General features: G+C 34.1%; 1 annotated feature.

Moving 5' to 3' along the window:
• Positions 1,305-1,364: an enhancer, noted in NCBI's record as "active region_28259". NCBI's record gives its function as "activates an Ori minimal core promoter by ATAC-STARR-seq in GM12878 lymphoblastoid cells {active_cell/tissue: GM12878}" and the evidence as "EXISTENCE:reporter gene assay evidence [ECO:0000049][PMID:35858748]".

A 20,723-nucleotide genomic window follows, 5' to 3' on the forward strand; every position in this document is an offset into this window, starting at 1 on the left:
ATGAGTATATTCTAGCTGTTTTTGCCATGCACCACGAAAAATGGGTAACTATGTGACATGATGGATATGTGAATATACTTCACTACAGTAATCATTTTACTATCTGTGCATTTCATAACTACATGCTGAATACTTTGAATACGCACAATAAAATTTATTTAAAAAATAATTTCCAATTTATAGCCTAATATGCTATAATAAAAATAAATACATGTATTCATCAAGGTTTCAGGATAAACAAAATCAATAAAAAAGTAAATTATATTCTATATACTAACAATGAACAGTCTGTAAACAAAATTAAGACAACTCAAATACATTAGCATCAAAAAAGTTGTAAATTATCAAAAGAATTATAAGATCTATAAAGTAAAAGTGTAAAGTGTCGCTGAAAGAGATGAAAAAATACTTAGATAAACAGAGAGAATTTTCATGTTCATAGGTTGTGAGATTCAGTGTAATTAAGATTGCAATTCTTCTCAAATTTGTCTACCATTCAATGTAAACCCTATCAATTATCTAGCAGGCTTTTTTTTTCCTTCAGAAATTGAGAAGCTACTTCGAACATTTATACAAAAAGGTAGAGACCATAGAATAACCAAAATAATATTAAAAAAGAACAAATTTGGATGAGTCACACTTCCCAATTTCAACTTATTATAAAGTTACTATAATCTATAAAGTGTGGGGCTGATACAAAGATAGACATATATTAATAAATCAGTGGAACAGAATTGAGAATCCAGAAATAAACTCTTATATTTATTGTCACTTAACTTTCAAAACAAGTTGAATGTCATTAATTTAATGGGAAAATAATAGTCTTTGCAATAAATAGTGGTGGGACCACTGATATTCACACATAAAAGATAAGTTTAAACTGTCTTAAAAATCATACTCAAAAATAAGATAGATCTGAGATCTAAATGAAAGAGCTAACATTATTAAATAAATAAAGGGAACAAAGCTGTTTCTTAAATACTATATAGAAGTACTATAAAGTACTCTATAGTACTTTATATATAAATATATACATTTATATACAGTACTATATAAAGTACTATATATATATTTTTATATAGTACTATATAAAGTACTATAAAGTACTGTAGAGTACTTTATAGTTAGTACTGTAGAGTACCATATTGAAGGAAGAGAAAGACCCTCTCATATTATTTTATATTGTTTTATACTCAGTACCTGTTTTAAGAAAAAACAACAAGGAAGTAAAACCAAAGACAGGCAGCCCAGAGCCAGGCCTGAAACCAGGCCTGGTCCTGCCTGGCCTAAACCCAGTAGTTAAAAATCAACTCATAACTTAGAAACCGATGTTATTCATAGATTCCAGACATTGTATAGAAGAACACTGTGAAACTCCCTGCCCTGTTCTGTTTCTCTCTGACCACCGGTGCATGCAGCCCCTGTCACGTACCCCCTGCTTGCTCAAATCAATCACTACCCTTTCATGTGAAATCTTTAGTGTTGTGAGCCCTTAAAAGGGACAGTAATTGTACACTCGGGGAGCTGGGATTTTAAGGCAGTAGCTTGCCAATGCTCCCAGCTGAACAAAGCCCTTCCTTCTACAACTCAGTGTCTGAGAGGTTTTGTCTGTGGCTCGTCCTGCTACAATATAGTTAGCACTTTATAGTTAGCACTATAAAGCATTATATAGTTAGTACTTTATGGTCATTTTCATTTCTCTTGGGTAGGTTCCTGTAAGTGGTATTGCTGAGTCATATAGTACTTTATAGTACTAAATACTATAAAGAAAAAGAAAATGTTTCTTAAATACTATAAAGAAGCACCGTCTATAAAAGAAAAATGTGTTATATCAGACTTGGTAAAAACTAAAAACATTTATACTTCAAAGGGCACCTTTAAGAAAATCGAAAGACAAGATACAACCTGGGAGAAAGTACTTCCAAATCCTAATTTTGACAAAGGACTTGTATTCAAAATGTATTCTGATTATTATTATTATTATTATTATTATTATTATTATTATTATTATTTTTAAAGCCATACCTCTACAGTAAGCTTACTTTCTTTTATTATTATTATTATACTTTAAGTTCCAGGGTACATGTGCAGAGCGTGCAGGTTTGTTACATAGGTATACAGGTGCCATGGTGGTTTGCTGCACCCATCAACCCGTCATCTACATTAGGTATTTCTCCTAATGCTATCCCTCCCCTAGTCCCCCAACCCCCAACAGGCCCTGGTGCACGATGTTCCCCTCCCTGTGTCCATGTGTTTGTTCTCATTGTTCAACTCCCACTTATGAGTGAGAACATGCAGTGTTTGGTTTTCTGTTCTAGTGTTACTTTGCTGAGAGTGATGGTTTCCAGCTTCATCCATGTCCCAGCAAAGGACATAAACTCAATAACCAGAAGACAAATGGCCCACTTTAAAAATGGGCTTAAGTTTTCAATAGAAATTTCAGGATGGTCACAGTGGTTCCATGGGTACAATCCCAGCACTTTAGGAGACAGGCAGGAGATTCACTTAAGGCCAGGTATTCCAGACCAGCCTGGGCAACATACTGAGACCCCATTTCTACAAAAAAATTAAAAGTTAGCCAAAAATAGTGCCTCATATCTATAGCCCTAGCTTCTCAGGAAGCTGAGGCAGGATAATTGCTTGAGCCCACAAATTTGATGCTGCAGTGAGCTATGATTGAACCACTGTACTCCAGCCTGGGTGAGAGAACAAGACCTTGTCTCAAAAAACAAACAAATAAAAAAAAACAGACATTTCAACAAAAAGATGTACATCGACCAATTAGCATGGAAAAAGACACTCAGCATCATAATTAGGAGAATGCAGATTAAAACAAAAATGTCATACTACATAACACCCACTAGAATGGTTCTAAAAAAAAAAGACGGACACCAATACATGTACATCCTTATACATTACAGGAGGGAAAGTAAAATGGTATAGTGGCTTTGTAAAATGGTTTTTAAAACTTAAATGTAAATGTAAAGCATGACTCAGCAATACCACTTACAGGAATCTGCCCAAGAGAAATGAAAATACATGCCCACACAAAGACTTCTATGTGATGTTTATAGCAGCCCAATCCATAATACACCAAAACTGAAAACAAACACCTATCAACCAGCAAGTGAAGAGGAAGATATGGTACATCCATACAGTGGAATAACAATTCAATGATAAAAAGAAGCAAAGTACTGATACCTGCCACACAGATGACCCTCAACAAAATTATACTATTAAAAATAATCCAGGCACAAAAAAACCCTCTCACATATTTTATGATTGAATGTATATGAATTGTGCATTAAAAAATCTGAAAGTAGATTGGTGGTTGCCTGCAACTGAAGTTGGCTATACGAAGTACTTGGGAAAGAAACAAGGGATGTTTTTGGAATGATGAAAATATTTTAAAATTGGGTTGTTGTGATGGTTATACAACCCTATATTTTTACTAAAAACTGTATTGTATGCCTAAGACAAGTACATTTTATATGATGTAAATTATGTTTGAGTAAATCTGTTTAAACAAAATGAAGCTTGCAGAGGCCTCTTCCTCTTTCACTGTTGTTACCATAGTTACTTGCTGGTATCAGGTCCTCTGAATTTTCCAGTGAGTACTCATTCGCATCTTCTGTGTTCCTGTGCTCTTGAATTGTTGAAGTTCCTCTTTCTCCACCCTACCACCTATGCACTGCTGGTAGACCTGGATTCTTTCCTTGTGGTGCCTAGATTTCTATGTTGCTTTATTTCGCACCCTCCTTTCATCGTTCCTGGAGAATCCTTGTCATGTCGCTTCATAAACGGTGTTCTACATGAAATATTTATTTTCCTATCCTAGATACCCTGCTTGTTTTTCTTAGGGGATTTGAAGAGAGGACTAATTTAAAGCTGCACTGCTATTATTATCCTTCCCCATAAGGGAGTCTGAATTACTTTAAGTCATAAGGGAAAAATTATGCCAACAACCAGAGTCAACATACCTGTTAGGGTTCATGATGCCAGACAGGCCTGTAGTACAGAGATGCACAGTGTTGTTATGGATGTCAAGTGAAGGAATCAGAAAATAGTTACACAGATATTAATGACAAAGTTCCACAGTTCCTTTACAGATAAACAGACATGCTTGCATGTCTGTACATTATCACTGTAGAAGCCTTCATACCAACTGAATAATTCCTACCCATTTTTAAGGCCTAATATAGAATCTACCTTTGTGTCCAGAAAAACCTTCTCTGATCCACAAAATGTGAGTTAGCTAGGCCTATATTTACAGTCTTCCTTTTTAAAATTATCAAATTTATTGTAAGTTGCTGTTTACTTATCTCTTTCTTCCACTAAAGTGTAAGTGATAAGAAGCCAGTGGCTATGTTAATCTTATTTATCTTTTTAAACCTAGCAGCTCAACATATGTTTATTGAATTACTTAACCATCTAATTATTTCTTTATTACTGAGTCTCAATATATGTAAATCTCATATGTCTTCATTTTAATTATATTCTGTATGGTTATTTTTGCCTTTAACATTTTGTGGCTCTATTTTTTGCTTTATAATTTTATATAAACTTCTGGTTTGTATTTTCAACTTATTATTTTCTATATTTTCTTCATTCTTTGAATGTCCATAGCATTTTGACTGTATCTCTCTTTTAATATTTATTTTATTCCTTCTTGTATAATTGTTGTCTGTTTCTCTCATGCTAGCTACTAAATTTTAAACCATCTGTGGAAACAATTGGGACTTTCTAACTCTAGCCTCCTTGCTATATTTTACATAAAAATAGGGTACCATCTGCAACTGATTGATTTAGAATGATTTAGGCTTATTGATGATATAACATGTGCTAAGCTTGTGCTAAACATGCAGGCACAGTGTAGATATGCTATCGATTGCTTGATCTATATTACAAAATATGAGGAAACCACTGGGTAACAGTTTAAAGTCTTGACTTTTTCCAATTATAGAAATCAGAAAACCTATTATGAAATAAATCTTCTGATTTATCATGTCCATTTATTTTTAACTCAATAATCTTTTATCTGAGTTCTATGCCTTGGAAAAGCAGAGTAAGACTTTAAGATAATAAGAGTAAACTATTTAATTATTAGGCAAAAAAAACCCAAAATAAAACCATTCACCATTTCTCTCTAATATGAATAAATCCACTCAAAGGTATGCTTTTTACTCCCTAAGAAACTACCCAGAGATACATAAATGCATCCACTGATGCTCACTTAAAAATCACTTACTAAATACTGTGTAATACATTAAACCTCTTTACATATTTTATCTTAGGGCCTCAAGTTTATATCAGTCAAGTTTTTTCATCTGGTAAATATATATACCCTCACTGAAATTTTCTTGCCATATTTAATGTGTGGTAGGACTATTTCATTGCTTACTTTAGCCTAATTGTGCATTGTATCTTCCAAGCTTTACTGATACTCCTTAGATGAATAATAAGATGCTCTACTTGCATACTTGGAAAGTATTGGTCATTAATTTTATAATTATTTTTTTCTAGTCAGAACAAAACAAGAAAATTTCTCCCAATTCAGTTTATATAGATGTTACAAAACTCATTCCAAAATTTGACAGTAATAGGAAAAAATAAAAATGTATAGTCCTGTATTATTTATAAAATAGATGCAAGAATCCTAAATTGAACGCAACAAATACAATTCAGGAATGTATTAATTAACTACTAAATCAAAATACTTAACAGGGACTTATTCCGGAAAAAATACAAATAACTAAACCTTAAGAAAAATACACACATAACGTATACACATGAGGTTTATTCACATGCATATATCTGTAAGTTGTTTATTAATTCTCATATATTGACAATAAAGTTAACCTGAAAGCATATAATACAGTAGCATAGGTGGAAAAAGTTGAGAAAAACATTAACTAAAATAGTATATCCTTCAAATACATCTTAAAATACAGACAGATAACTTAGAAAATGACTTATTCTATACCTTGAAGAGACTATGTGAAAATGTCTTACAAAGTATTCTGAAAACTACTAATAGCCAAGTATAAAAATTGACAATGGCAATGAACTGAATATTTATAAAAAAATTAAAATAAAATAATACCATGCTAAAATTTACACTGTGTAGGATTAAAGACATTCTAAATAATGTTATCATTGTTATTCCATACTGGGAAAGTGATAATTCAATCAAATCTTTCAGCCTGACTCATTTTCAGTTATTGGCTTAAAGATGTTTCACCCACAGATGAAATTTTCCTTAAAGTTTATATTTAATGAGTACCTTGAACCAGAGAAAATAGTTGAGTCAATAAAACATTAATATGTGAATTTTAGTTCTAAATATGGGATTTTAAGAAGAGAAAATAAACCAAGTGGAAATTATCACAGTCTTGGCAATTGAAAACGAGAGAGATGGAATATAGGTAGCAAGCCCTCGATTATTAGAATAAAGCAAAAAGGGGACTATAAGAATGCTGAGCCCTTCCCAGATGCTGATCTCACCCTTCCACCTGGGAAAGAGGTGGTCAGACAGCCCAGACAGCTCCTCATAGTCCCAGGACAGCCATTAGCATCATTCATGCATGCTACTAGCCACATCTCTTTGATAGGATGCACCAGATAGGATGCACATCAACTAACTTCTGAATATAGTTCTGAAAAACTAACTTCTGAAAAACAGTGACTTGAATTGCTTTCTGTTTTGTCTGCTGCAACTCAGCTATTTTTCACTTTTTTTTTTTTTTGAGACAGGGTCTCACTCTGCTGCCCAGGCTGAAGGACGAAGTGCAGTGGCGTGATCATAGCTAACTGCAGCCTCAAATGTCTGGGCTCAAGTGATGCTCCTGTCTCATCCTCCCAAGTAGCTGAGACTACAGGCACATGTCACCACACCCAGCTATTGTTTTAATTATTATTTTATTTTTTGTAGAGATGGGGGTCTCACTTTGTTGCCCAGGCTTGTCTGGAACTCCTGGCCTCAAGCAATCCTCCCACCTTAGCCTTCCAAGCTATTTGTAATGTGGAAGCAAATGTGTTTCTATGAGATTGGCCAGCTCTAGCTAAGTGACTTCTTTAGAATTCTATGTCAGGAATGCTAATGTGGGTCTGTAAGAAAACTAGAAATAATAGTGGATGTTATAAAGTTTGCAAACCCTCTCTTTCTCTTCCTCTGCCTTTTCCTCTTCCTTCTCCCCTCTCTCTTTTCTTCTCCCTCTCCCACCTCTCCTCTATCTGATACACACCCACACCCACACACACACACCACAGGCACACAGGCACATGTGCACACACACGCACACACCAGCTAATGAAGAAAGCAGAAAGTGAGCAGGGAGAGAGCCAAAGGCCTTATTATCTGCAAATATGCTCACATGGGAGAAAGAATATTAAATTAAAACAAGTTCAGAGTTTGCATTATTATATTGATCTGGACATTGTATTCACAGAATTGGCGTTTTGTTTTCTCACTTTAAAGTGATTGCAGTCATGATCTGTTACCCTAAAAGGAACAGAAATCATAGTAAGCTAAAATAGTAATCCAAGGAAAGGGGAAGATTTTCTTCACTCTAAAATTGTAAGGGATAATGAGAGATTAAAATATATTTCATATTTTGAGCACAATAAACACTCCATTACATCTTTTAAGGAGATAAGCCTATGGGTTAGTGCTGCAATTCTCCAGTATTTCCTGTGCCTGGATGGGCTAATTTTATCCTGAAATTTGATATTGAAACAAAGCCATGCTTCAAATCTAAGTCATGCCCTACAGCCTAGGTTAGCAGTGAGAGAGCTGAAATAATTTTCTTATGCTATTTACCTTTTTGCCATACTTGAAAGCAAATGGATACTACTTTATTAAGCTTCCTGGATTGCAACAAATATTCATTTATTCATCTGTTTGTTTTTTAACAGTTTAATATCCAGTTTGTATATGCTCACTATCAGGAGAAATTTGGTGCTGAACATATTTTCAGCAAGGAGAAATTTGCCTTACCATTTAACTCTATAAAATAATGGCAATCATATAAAATAATGATGGTGATGTATCCCATGATAATCTTATTAAAATCAATTTTCCTTTTCTATTTATTTTATAGCATTTATGGCCACCTACTTATACACCTACATGCATACACATATACATGTGTGCATGTGTAACATGCATGTATGCTACATATCTGTGTGTATATGCATATATATGCCCATTTCTTGCCCATTTTGCTAATGTAATCTTCATGAAAGTAGTAATTGTTTAGTTTGTTCAGCACTGTAATATCCACCACTAGATCATGTTGAGAATCATGGTAGTAACTCTGTACATATGCAAGTAATAAATATGATACATATATATTTTATATATTTATATTCAAGCCATTACAGTTGATCCAAAAATAAAATGAAACTTATGTACTTAACCCAGGAGAATCAAAGCTTTTAACCTTAGCAGTTAGCATCTTATGCATTTCCATGCATTGTCAACCTCTAACTTCTTTAATAACTAGAATTTATTTATTGGATTAAAAATAACCACCATAATTTGAAGTTTAAAAAGTGAAACAAAGTTCATTTAACTTACTTATTATTGTCACTTTTAAGGTGACAACACCTTATTTCATGTTATCTCAAGAGTGAAACTGTTTTTCACTACACTTCTAGCATGGCTACACCTAATTCAGGGTAATCTCCTAATAGTCACTAATGTCAAATTTGCACAGGAAGCTGGCAAAAAGCAATTCTCTTCAGAGTAAAAGTTCACTTCCATAAATGCTACAGGTAATATATTTAATCAATATTTTTAATTTAAACAAATTTGCTCTGACAAAGGTTTGGCATTAGCCATTTCACGAACATTTAACCAGTCCTCAAACAAATCTAAAAAGAAATCAGTGTTGACATATAGCTCTTTCTTATCACATCTACTTGTTTTGCTTTAATTGGCCTCAGTCTCTAAATCAATTTGAGTCCAAAGCAGTTTTTAAATAAGCGTTTACACTGATTTTATCTTCTCTATTTTCATTTTGCATATTTAAAAAATATTTTTGTAATATTTAACTCTAATACTTCCTCAAATAAAATGGGCTTGAAATTAATTATGAAGTTAAATTTGTTACATACTCTAAAACTAATGGTGCAGCTACTATGGAAAACTGTATGAAGGTTCCTTAAAAAGTTAACAAGTGAACTGCCACATGATCCAACAATCCCACTTCTGGGTATATATTCAGAAGAATTGAATTGATATCTCAAATAGATAGCTGCATTCCCGTATTCATCACAGCATTATTCACAATAGCAAGATATGAAAACAATCCAAACATCTATAGACAGATGAACGGATAAAGAAAATTTGGTACATACATACAACAGAATATCATTCAGCCTTTAATAAGAAGGAAATTCTACAGTTTGCTACATGGATGAACCTAGAAGATATTAACCGGCTAAGTAAAATAAGCCAGTCTCAGAAGACAAATACTGTGTGATTGTACTTATCTGAGGTATCTAAAATAGTCAAAGTCATAGAAGTACTGAATAGAACGCCAGGGTGGGGAAAATGGGGAATTGTTCAATAGTTATAAAGTTTCAGTTATGCAAGATAAATAAATTTTAGAGATCCTCTGTACGACATAGTCCTTATTATTAACAACATGGTATTTTCTACTTAAAAATTTGTTAAGAAGGTAAATCACATGTCAACATTTTTACTCCCCACTTAAAAGGGAGTGAGACACAAGGAAACTTTTGAAGGTGATGGATATATTTATTACCTCAACTGTGGTGATAGTATCAAGAGTATATACATATGCTCAAACTCATCAAATTGTATATAATAAACATGAGCAGGGTTTTTTAAAATATCAATTATACTTCAATAAAGCTGTCAAAAAAGTGAAGGGTCTCTATAACATAAAAAATACAGCTCTAAAGAAAACTATACAATGGGCAGTTGGACAAATGCTATTATGAATTTTTGGATCTCTACACAAATATATTGAAGGCTTTCTTCAAAAATCACAAAGCAATGATATCACGCCCACTTTGATATTGATGAAAGATGTCACATGCCAAGAGGAATTTAACTACTTTGAAACTGAGTCTAGCCTTCCCTTGTGCTATATAAACACACTTAAGGGAAGACATTAATAATATTTTATTATTTTTAACAATCTTCAAGTAAATAAAGCTTATTTCCAGAATGAGTCAAATGATGACATCTGTTTATAACAAAAGTATAATTTTCAGGTTGAATTTAAAGACAAATCCAAATGAGCACTTTCACAAATCCCTAATTCTTTCATGATGATATAAATCATTGTGTTTTACTTGTTTATTTTTTAAAGAGCACAACGTAGCAAGAATATGTAGAAGTACAAGCAATATTCATATAGTTTTTTGAAATTCATTAAATGGGGGAATCATTTTACTGTACGAGGAAGTAAACAAAACAAAGAAATACATTCTACCATCATGATCTATTGATAACTATCCTTACATCATTGAACTACTTTGACTCTTCAGAGAAGTTCAGGTCATAAGAGGCTAATTACATCACTAATTGGAGGACCATTTTGTAAGACTTAAAAATAATTTACAACATTATATAAGTTTAAATAGTAATTGATTCCTGCTAATCATAGAAAATTATGAAAAACAAACTAATACTAGAACATACGCCAAATATTCAGAGTTGTTAGGAACATAGATTCTAATACCTTATTACTTGGATGAGAATTCCAGATAAGCCTAGCTATGTGCCTTTTATTAAACTTATTTACCTGTGATTTAGTTTATTTTTATATAAAAAGTGGGTAGTAAAACATACCGCATAGGACTGTGAGAATAAAATTAGATAATAAAGGTAAAATGTCAGCTTACATACACACAAACACAAATACACAGCTGTGTCATTTGATAAAATATACATAATGTTCTTTTTCCCTCAAAAATAAAACTCAACTGTATACTTTACTCAACATTGATTTATTTTTCATTTTAACATATTATGACTTCCTTATCACCATGCTAACTTGTCTCATAGGAAGCACTTTCTTATTTCAAAATTCTATGGATATTTTAATTCCAACTTTATGTCATTATAGAAAATGCAAAACTACATGTGACAAAAAATTGATCAGTGGTTACCATGGGCAGGAGGAAAGGCTGACTACTAAGGGGCATTGGATAAATTTTGCAGAAGTGGCACTGTTATATAATATGTTTGTGGTGATAGATACTCAACTTTTGTCTACGTAAAGAAACATACAACTTCAGAAGTTGTATATTTAGATCACTATTGTACTCTTAAATAACTATTGGATTTTTAAATTTGTCTTCATAATTTTTATATTTTCATATCTTTCTACAATTACTTGTATTACTTTAAAAATCAGGAGAAAACAATATTCTCTTGTTCTCTCAACTTTGCCTTTAGGGCTTAATAGGCAAAAAAAGAAAATAATTGTCCAATACTTACCTACATATGAAAATGCAGATTCTATTGTTAACACTAAGATAAATCTCTTCAATATTAGACATTTTAATCTTATAGATCTACATTATCTTGTGTGCAGAATCAAAATCAAAAGCAACCTACAGGGAATTTTGATGAAAGCTTGGATGGAAATTTGAAAAATATCTACAGAATATAACTAATGTGGCAGTACCAGAGGCAAAGAAGTTACCCTGCTATGAACATTTAGTCTTGCAATTTGCCAGAGAGATCCTGTGGTAGAGTATAAAGACCATGGAAAGCAGAGGGGTTTTCCTCCAATTCTGGCATTTTTATTAACAAACTGGCCAAGCAATTTTTCTGGACTTCGGTTCCCTACTATGTAAAATAAGATATTCAGATGATTTCTAGCTATTCCTCAAAGCTTAACAATGAACAGTGTTGAGATTCTGGTAAAACTAGAAACTCAGATAAATATTTTACTGAAAATGTGCCCTTAAAGAAAAAACATGGCATTTTCCAAAGACAATAAGACTCTCCTTTTAACTGGATCTGAATTAAAGATGGCACAGGTTTCTAGAAGTTCCTATGACCTCTGTTGGTGGGAGGTGTTTATTTGGCCTAATTTATTATTTCTCCTGTGAGCCAGTCAATAATTTATTAATGAGATTTTATTCTATTTTATTTTTCCAATTTTACTAAAGGAATAAATTAAAAGGAAGCCTAGCTAATGAAGATTACAGAGTCAGTCCTAAGTATCTGCGACAGATTGGTTCCAGGACCCCTACAGATACCAAAATCCACTGATGCTCAAGTCCCTGATATAAAATGGTGTAATATTTTTATAGAACCTATATACATCCTCTCTTATACTTTAAATCATCTCTATATTACTTCTAATACCTAATACAATGTAAATGTTATGTAAATCATTGTTATACTATATTGTTTATGAAATAACAAGAAAAACGTCTGTATACATTCAATACAGATACAAGCATTCACTTTTTCTTCTAAATATTTTTAATCCATGGTTTGTGGTTTTTTGAATCAGGGATGCAGACCCATGAATATGGAGGGCTAGCTGTATTGGATTTGCGAGGATTTTTTTTGAGGGAATTGCGCTTTTGAATAGGTTTCTCTTTCATTTGTCCTTGTATTAGTCAACAGGCTCTTCCATTTTATTAAATAATTTGCCCATGTTCTGGGACAAATACAACAGAATACACCAAAGGTAATTATTCACTTTTCACATTATCTCTTGGTTGCCACTTCTGTAGGGCCGTATACCAAGGTGCTCTTCAGTGGAAAGAGTGCCTCATTTTGTCATGGGCTTCTAGTTGTAGCCATGTGTTGTACATTCTATATTAGTTGTGTCTTAGGAATTTTTGTGTATTTACCCAAATGTTCAGTTGTATTTCTGGGACACTTGCAAATGAAGGGATATATGCAAATGTTATAGGTCTATGAGTTTATACAGAATGCACTGTTGTCAAGTGTAAAAGAAGAAACAATAAAACTTTTACTAAGAAAAAAGAAAAACATTTATCAATAGGCTGTTGAAATAGCTGACTTCTATTAAACTTGGACTTTCTTTATATAAATAGTGTAATCATTTCCCAAAATGTGTTTAAGGAAACTTACTCCTAATAATGTGCTGTATTCTCCATAACATTATCAGAAAAAAGTAATAACTTGTGCTTTAGGAAATCACGTAAGCAACTTTCACATTTATTTGTGAAGAGGCAAGTTGGTTCAGAAGGGTTAAGGGTCAAACCTTCAACTAAGTGATGAAATATACTGTTAAACCAAGAAAAAGTTTGGGTTGCCAAAATGCTTTAATTTGTTTATGAAAAGTAACCTAACAAAAGCATCTTCAGGTATAATTCCTACTATTATCACAATCGTTTTGTTTGATTCTGCTTATGTTTTCTCTGTTTACTTGCTTTTAGATAAAAACTTCTTTGTGAGTTTCTATTTTTCCGATTTTTGGATGTTTGCATGTTTTGCTTTTGTATTAGTCTGTTTTTATGTTGCCATGAAGAAATACCTGAAACTGGGTAATTTATAAAGAAAAGACGTTTAATTGACTTACAGTTTCACATGGCTGTGGAGGCCACAGGAAACTTAAAATAATGGTGAAAAATACCTCTTCACAGGATGGCAGGAAAGAGAATGAGTGCCAGTAGGGGAGATGCCAGATGCTTATAAAACCATCAGATCTCATAAGAACTTACTATTATGAGAACAGAATGGGGGAAACTGTCCCCATGGTTCAGTTACCTTTCAACGGGGCCTATCTACAACATGTGGGGCTTATGGGAACTACAATTTGAGACGAGATTTGGGTGGGAACACAGCCAAACCATATCAGCTTTGTTTGCTGGATTTTATTTTTACTATTTTATCATTATTTTTATTTTTTAAGAGGTGCTATGACTAGAATTGTTTCATTTTTATTTCCAATTTTCATACTATTGTTTTATCTTCCCATTCTTTTCAGTTTCCAGAAAAGCCAACAAAAATGTATTCTTAGGTATAAGTGTCAAGTTATCTTGTGGGATTTACAGTTAACAAATAATAGGCTCAGCTCTGATATGATTCATTTTCTCTTCCTTCCAATACTCAGTACTTTTTAGTTGATCCTCTTGGCCTGCCTAGTAAATTTCTAAATCCTTAGCCTAAAACTATTTAAACACTTCATAATTGATTTCAATGTATTTGGCCAGACTTATCTAAAATTTACTTTATGAGTCTTATACTCCATCCAAAGTTTTTAAAGTTAAATTTCTTCAAAATTACTGCTATTCATGACATTATATCTAAACTATCAGTGACTTTAACAGACTTATGAATTCACTCATTTATTTACTCACTCATTTAAGAAATATTTATTTTATTGTGATAAGAATACTTAACATAAGATCTACTCTTTTAACGAATTATAAGTGCACAATACAGTACTGTGAACTATAAGCACAATGTGGTAGAGCAGATCTATAGAATTTGTCTTATAAATGAAACTTTCTGTCCAATGAGTATAAAATATTCATTCAATACTAATATGGTTTAGCTCTGTGTCCCTTCCCAAATCTCATCTCGAATTGTAATCTCCACATGTTGAGGGAGGGACCTATATCCCCAGGTGTGGAGGAGAGGAAGTTATTAAATCATGGGGGTGCTTCCCCCATGCTGTTCTCTGATAGTGAGTGAGTTCTCACAAGATGTGATGGTTTTACAAGTGTCTGGCATTACCCCTGCTTGCACTTGTCTCTCCTGCCACCATGTGAAAAGGATTCTTGCTTTCCCTTTGCCTTCAGCCATGATTGTAAGTTTCCTGAGGCTTCCCCAGCCATGTGAAACTGACACTCAATTAAAGCTCTTTCTTTTATAAATTACCCAGTCTCAGGTATTTTTTCATAGCAATATGAACAGGTATTTGTTAGAAAATCAAATGGACATAACCACTGGTATTTTTTCTTCCAACTCAGAATGTTGTGTAAGAGAAAAGCTTTGTGTGGTAAGATTACTGGCAATTGAAAAAAAAAAATTTGTAATAGTTGAACAAGTCCATAAAAAATATCAGGCACAAGGGAGCATTTTCATGAGAGTATAGCACAATTTACAATAACGTACAAACTTAACAGAATATGTATTTGCCTCAACTTTAAGACAGTGTCTTGAGGTATATTTAATTTGTCTGTCAAAACTGAGGCATATTCACCTTGTCAATTCAAAATAATAAAAATAAAATCTATGGACAATGAAATAGATGTTCATGAATTCAAATTATTTTGAAATATTTTATTTTGCTACTTAGAAGAGAGGCTAAAAACTAAAACAGTGCTTTTGCAAGATGAAATTATTATTCCATAACCATTGACTTTATTTAATGATCTTAAATGGATTACATATGATTATATGGTTTGGCTCTGTGTCCCTACCCAAATCTCATGTTGAGTTATGATGCTCAGTGTTGGAGGAGGGGCCTGGTGGGAGGTGATTGAATCATGGGAGCAAACTTCCCCCTTGCTGTTCTCGTGATAGTGAGGGACTGGTTGTTTAAAAGTGTGTAGCACCTCCCCCTTCACTCTTTCTCTCCTGCCAGCAATGTGAAGATGTGCCTACTTTCCCTTTGCTTTCTGCCATGATTATAAGTTTCCTGAGGCCTCCCCAGAAGCAGAAGCCTTTGCAGCTCACAGAACTGTGAGCTGATTAAACCTCTTCTATTTATAAATTATTCAGTCTCAGGTATGTCTTTATAGCCATGTGAAAACTGACTATTACATATGATGTGGGACATGATGCCATTTTCCTTCAGCACACAATCAGATAAACATGTCACTCCATTGCAACAAGTTCCTAGTTTTTCAAGCCATGTGCTTGCCAATAAATCTCTTTGGGAGACTTTATCAGGTTTGATCAGTACCACTAGGGTGAATAATACCTTAATCATGCCTATTGGAGGTGTTTAACACAATGTTTGGCATCCTCAGAATGTGAAATGTTCAACTACTATCAAAACTTTAATTAACTGAATAACCCTGAAAATGTGTGCAATTTTCAGGTATCTGCAATATTTGTCCATACATTATAAATTTTATGTATCAAGGTATAATTTATTGCTTTCCAAACTAGTATGAATGTACCAAATACTTTCCCTACAATCCTGGAATTTTATACTGCATTAAATGGACGAGGAATGTTCATGTAATGAATACAGAAATAAAATAAGAAACTCCAAGCTATCCTCTATAATTTTTAAATACGTTTACAATGTACAAACTTTGATGGGCTTAAGTTCTAGAAAGTGTTGAAATTTTTTAAGAGAAATTGAAATCTCACTTTCTGAAAAATATTACCAGAAGGAAATTTAGATGTGTATTATTAATTTGGCAAAATGTTTGAGCATTTTAAATAAGGCAAATATTTCTATTCTATGGTCTGCAATCACTCTTACAGCTACCACTAAAACACCTTGAATTATTTTAGTCAAGTAACCAACATGGAAGGAGAGAATGGAAGAGAACAACTGGATGAGAATTTAAAATATGTGACTTTTAAAATTTTTTTTGAGATGGAGTCTCATTCTGTCACCCCAGCTGGAGTGCAGTGGTGCAATCTCAGCTCACTGCAACCTCCACCTCCCAGGTTCAAGTGATTCTCCTGCCTCAGCCTCCCCACTAGCTGGGATTTCAGGTGCTCACCACCACACCCGGCTAAATTTTGTCTTTTTAGTGGAGACAGGGTTTCACAATAATGGTCAGCCTGTTCTTGAACTCCTGAGCTCAATGATCCACCTGACTTGGCCTCCCAAAGTGCTGGGATTACAGACGTCAGCCACTGTGCCTGGCCAAAAACGTGATATTTTCAATGGAAGACAAAATAATTCATAATCTTGATGTCAAAAGTGCAAATATTTACAAGCAGAAATCTAAAGTCACTTGAGAAAATTTTTTAACATTTTAGGTAGTAAAAATGTAACACTAAATTTTATGTATTAACCTGATGATCATGAAATTTATGAATTTGAAAATGTAGAAAACTATATGATATGAGTTAAAATTGAGCCACAAGACTTCTATGGTTTCAGTTCTGACACACAGAGCTTGGAAATTGTCACTTTTGTCTTTGAAACAAAGAAAATCTAGACAAACTGAAAATCAATAGCTTTTCTTAGACCAAGCAGAGCATTGAGGGAGGGTAAACTGCCATCCCCAAATCCAGAGAGACAGGGGTACCTAGACAGATAAAGCTTACATCTGCTTGCCTGAAACAGAAGTCATTTGTTACCTGTTATATTTTATACTAGAAAAAGAGGTATATTGAAGTCCTAACTCCAAGTATCTGTGAAAATGGTATTATTTGGGAAGAGGATCTTTCCAAATATAATCAATTTAAGATGAAGTCATTAAGGTGAACCCTTAATCTGATATGACTGGATTATAAGAGAGAAGTAAATGACGTGAAAACACAGACAGAGGAAAGACGGTCATGTAACGATAGAGTCAGAGATTGCAGTCATGCTGCCCTAACCCAGTGGAATTCCTTGAGCTATCAAGATCTAGAAGAAGCAATGATGGATCCTTTTCTAGAGGTTTCAGAGAGGGAGGATGAGCTGCCAACACCTTTATTTCAGCCTTCTACTCTCCAGAACCGTGACAGAACAAATTTCCATTGTCACATAATTTATGGCAGTGTCAAGGCAGCCTTAGAAACACATAAATGGCAATTTTGGCAAGTAGCTAGTGGCTGAGGGTAGACTAACATGCAAGTGAGGAACTTTGTGGAGTCAGTCTTAGGGGATCCCCTCACTGTTTTGGGCTTTAGCTTGAGGAGTCTGGGTCGAATTTAGAAAAAAATTCAAGTTTTTCTAAAACTACAATTAAGCCCATAAAAGTTTGTACATTGTAAACTTATTTAAAAATTATGGAGGATAGCTTTGAGTTTCTCATTTTCTGTATTCATTATATGAGCACTCCTGATTCATTTAATTCAGTGTAAAATTCCAGGATTGCAGGAAAAGTATTTGGTACAGACGGCATCTTGTGAGGAGAATACTAGAAAGTTCTCACTGGGCTCTGGTAGCGAGAAAGAAACAGTAGTCATTGTGAAATACATCCAGAGCCTTGTTCATAACAAAGATCTACTCTTCAGGAGAAAAACTTTGCCAAATTCTTATTCCAGCTGAAGGAAGGTGATTCCTCTCACTCCATCCTCATGTAAACATCCTGTCTCATCTAAAGCCTAGAGGCCAGGCGTGGTGGCTCACGCCTGTAATCCCAGCACTTTGGGCCAAGGCAGGCGGACTACAAGGTCAGGAGATCGAGACCATCCTGGCTAACATGGTGAAACCCCGTGTCTACTAAAAATAAAAAAAATTAGCTGAGTGTAGTGGCACGTGCCTGTAGTCCCAGTTACTTTGGAGACTGAGGCAGGAGAATCGCTTGAACCCGGGAGGCAGAGGTTGCAGTGAGCCGAGATCATGCCACTGCACTTTAGCCTGAGTGACAGAGCAAGACTCCATCAAAAAAAAACAAAAACAAAAAAAGGCAGAGAAATGTATAATCAACAGGGATTGGTGCTTTCCGGAAATAAACTGGAAATGCTGCAGTAAGGAAAGGAAGTACAGAGAAAACTGAGGTAAGAACTACTCCACTGGAAAAACATTTGTGAAGAGTATAGTCCCAGGACACAGGGCCACTCAAAGACCAATTATTTAGAAAATAATAGCATGCCCTTCCCCCACACATACACCTCACTGAGACATCAGAAGGCTTCAGTATATTGTTAGATAACAGTTGAAAGGGATGGAAGGCAGTGACTCTCTCTGAGGAGTACTTGCAGAAGCCCAAAGTTTAGAAGAAAAGACAAAAGCAAAAACAGTAGAGGGATTGGAAGCCTCTGTGGCAACTTTGGCTACAACAAATATTAAACAGAGCTCACCTCTTAGAGTGAAAACATTCATCACATTAAAGTCCTCTTTACCTCCTTTTACCTGGTACGACATGTGGCTTTCAAGAAAATATTGCAAGGCATGACAAAAGGCAGTCATGACAAAGCCAAAACAGTATGGAGAGAAATAGCAATCATCAAGCTTCCAAAATTGATGAAAAGTAGACACAACTACATATTGTCTACATTTCCATCTTTGATTCACCTATTTTGATGTTTTGTTGTCAAATACATAAATGTTTACAATAGCTATATCGCCTTGAATAATCAATTTCTGTATCATTTATAGTTCTGTTATTTATCCCTAATAAAACTCATTCTAAAATGTGTTTGTCTGAAGTTAATATAGCTATTCTAGATTCCATTTGATTAATGTTAGCATGGTACAACTATCTGCATGATTTTCCTTTTAATCTACCAGTCTTTATATTTAAGTTGGTTCAAAAGCCAAATGAAATGAAAAATAGAAAACTTCACCATTATAATTGGAAATTTCAACACCTCTCTGTCAGTAATTGATAGATGATACAGGCAAAAAAAATCAATAAGGGTATAAATGATATGAATAGCACTATCAATCAACTTGGTACAATTGACATTTGTAGAATACTCCATCCAACAAAAGCCAAATACATATTTTTTTCAAACATTCATAAAACATAGCCTAATATAGAAACATTGTCAACCATAAACGCAGCTTAACACATTTAAAATAATTGAAGTAATACATATTATGTTCTTAGACCACAATTGAATTAAACTACTAATAAATAAAAGATATCTCGGAAACCTCTAAATATTTGGAAGTTAAAACACATACTTAAAAAAATAAAAACTTCTAGGGTCAACTCCCATATGAAGAAGCTAAAAAGTCATTACTCTCATCCTTATAAGAAAAAGATGGAAAAAATGAAAATCAATGTATTTTCTTGGAGCTATAGAAAGCTGTGCATGCAGAGCAAACTGTCACCCTGAAATCAAGCAAAACAGGCAAATCCAGAGTCACAGCTGAAATCTGCTTATTTGTACCAGTTGCAACCAGAGCCATGAACTGGTAAGAACACATAAATAGTAATTTTGATGAATAACTGGAGGCTTGAGTGTAGACCAGCTTGAGAATTGGATACTCTTGTGGGCCCACTATTTCATATGTTTTACATCCAGGAAACCTGTTAGGTTCTCAAGGTGGAGATCCAAAAAATTATTTCTGTGATCTGGCAGAGATGGGAAAGATAATTCTTCTGAAATACACTCAAAGATTTCTCCACAGCAAATCCTTCTCTACTGGAGGGAAGGCTTTACTAGAGCCTGTCTCAGAGCCATCAGGGAGATACATTTCTCCCATTTCCAATGCCATCTAGACTTCCTATTTCACCCAAGATGGGGAGATTCTCTACAAGAAAAAATACTGGTGAAGGGCACAGGCCAGATAGGCAGACCCACTAAAACACTGAGATTTAATTCAAATATTATAAAATGCACACTCTCCCTCATATCTTATTGGACAACAAACAGGGATCCAGTTTAATAATAGTAGACCAGAGCTGAAAAAGCTGCAAGACACAGACTCTCTCTGAATGGGAATACACAGGGAAGTGCAAAGTCAAGAGAAGAGGACAAAAGGACACTAGAAGAAATTGGAGTCCCTGGAACCTATAGCTGCAGCAAATATTAAACAAAGCCCACTCCCACCCATATTGATATAAATCTTACATATCTTGCACGAGATTCAAGAACCCTCTCTTGGGGTCTGGATCCAGACCCCTTTCCTGTATTGATATAAATCTTACATATCAGAGCCCTCTTTAGCTCAGTT

Source organism: Homo sapiens, chromosome 9, assembly GCF_000001405.40.
Source record: "Homo sapiens chromosome 9, GRCh38.p14 Primary Assembly".
Classification (NCBI taxonomy): Eukaryota; Metazoa; Chordata; class Mammalia; order Primates; family Hominidae; genus Homo; species Homo sapiens.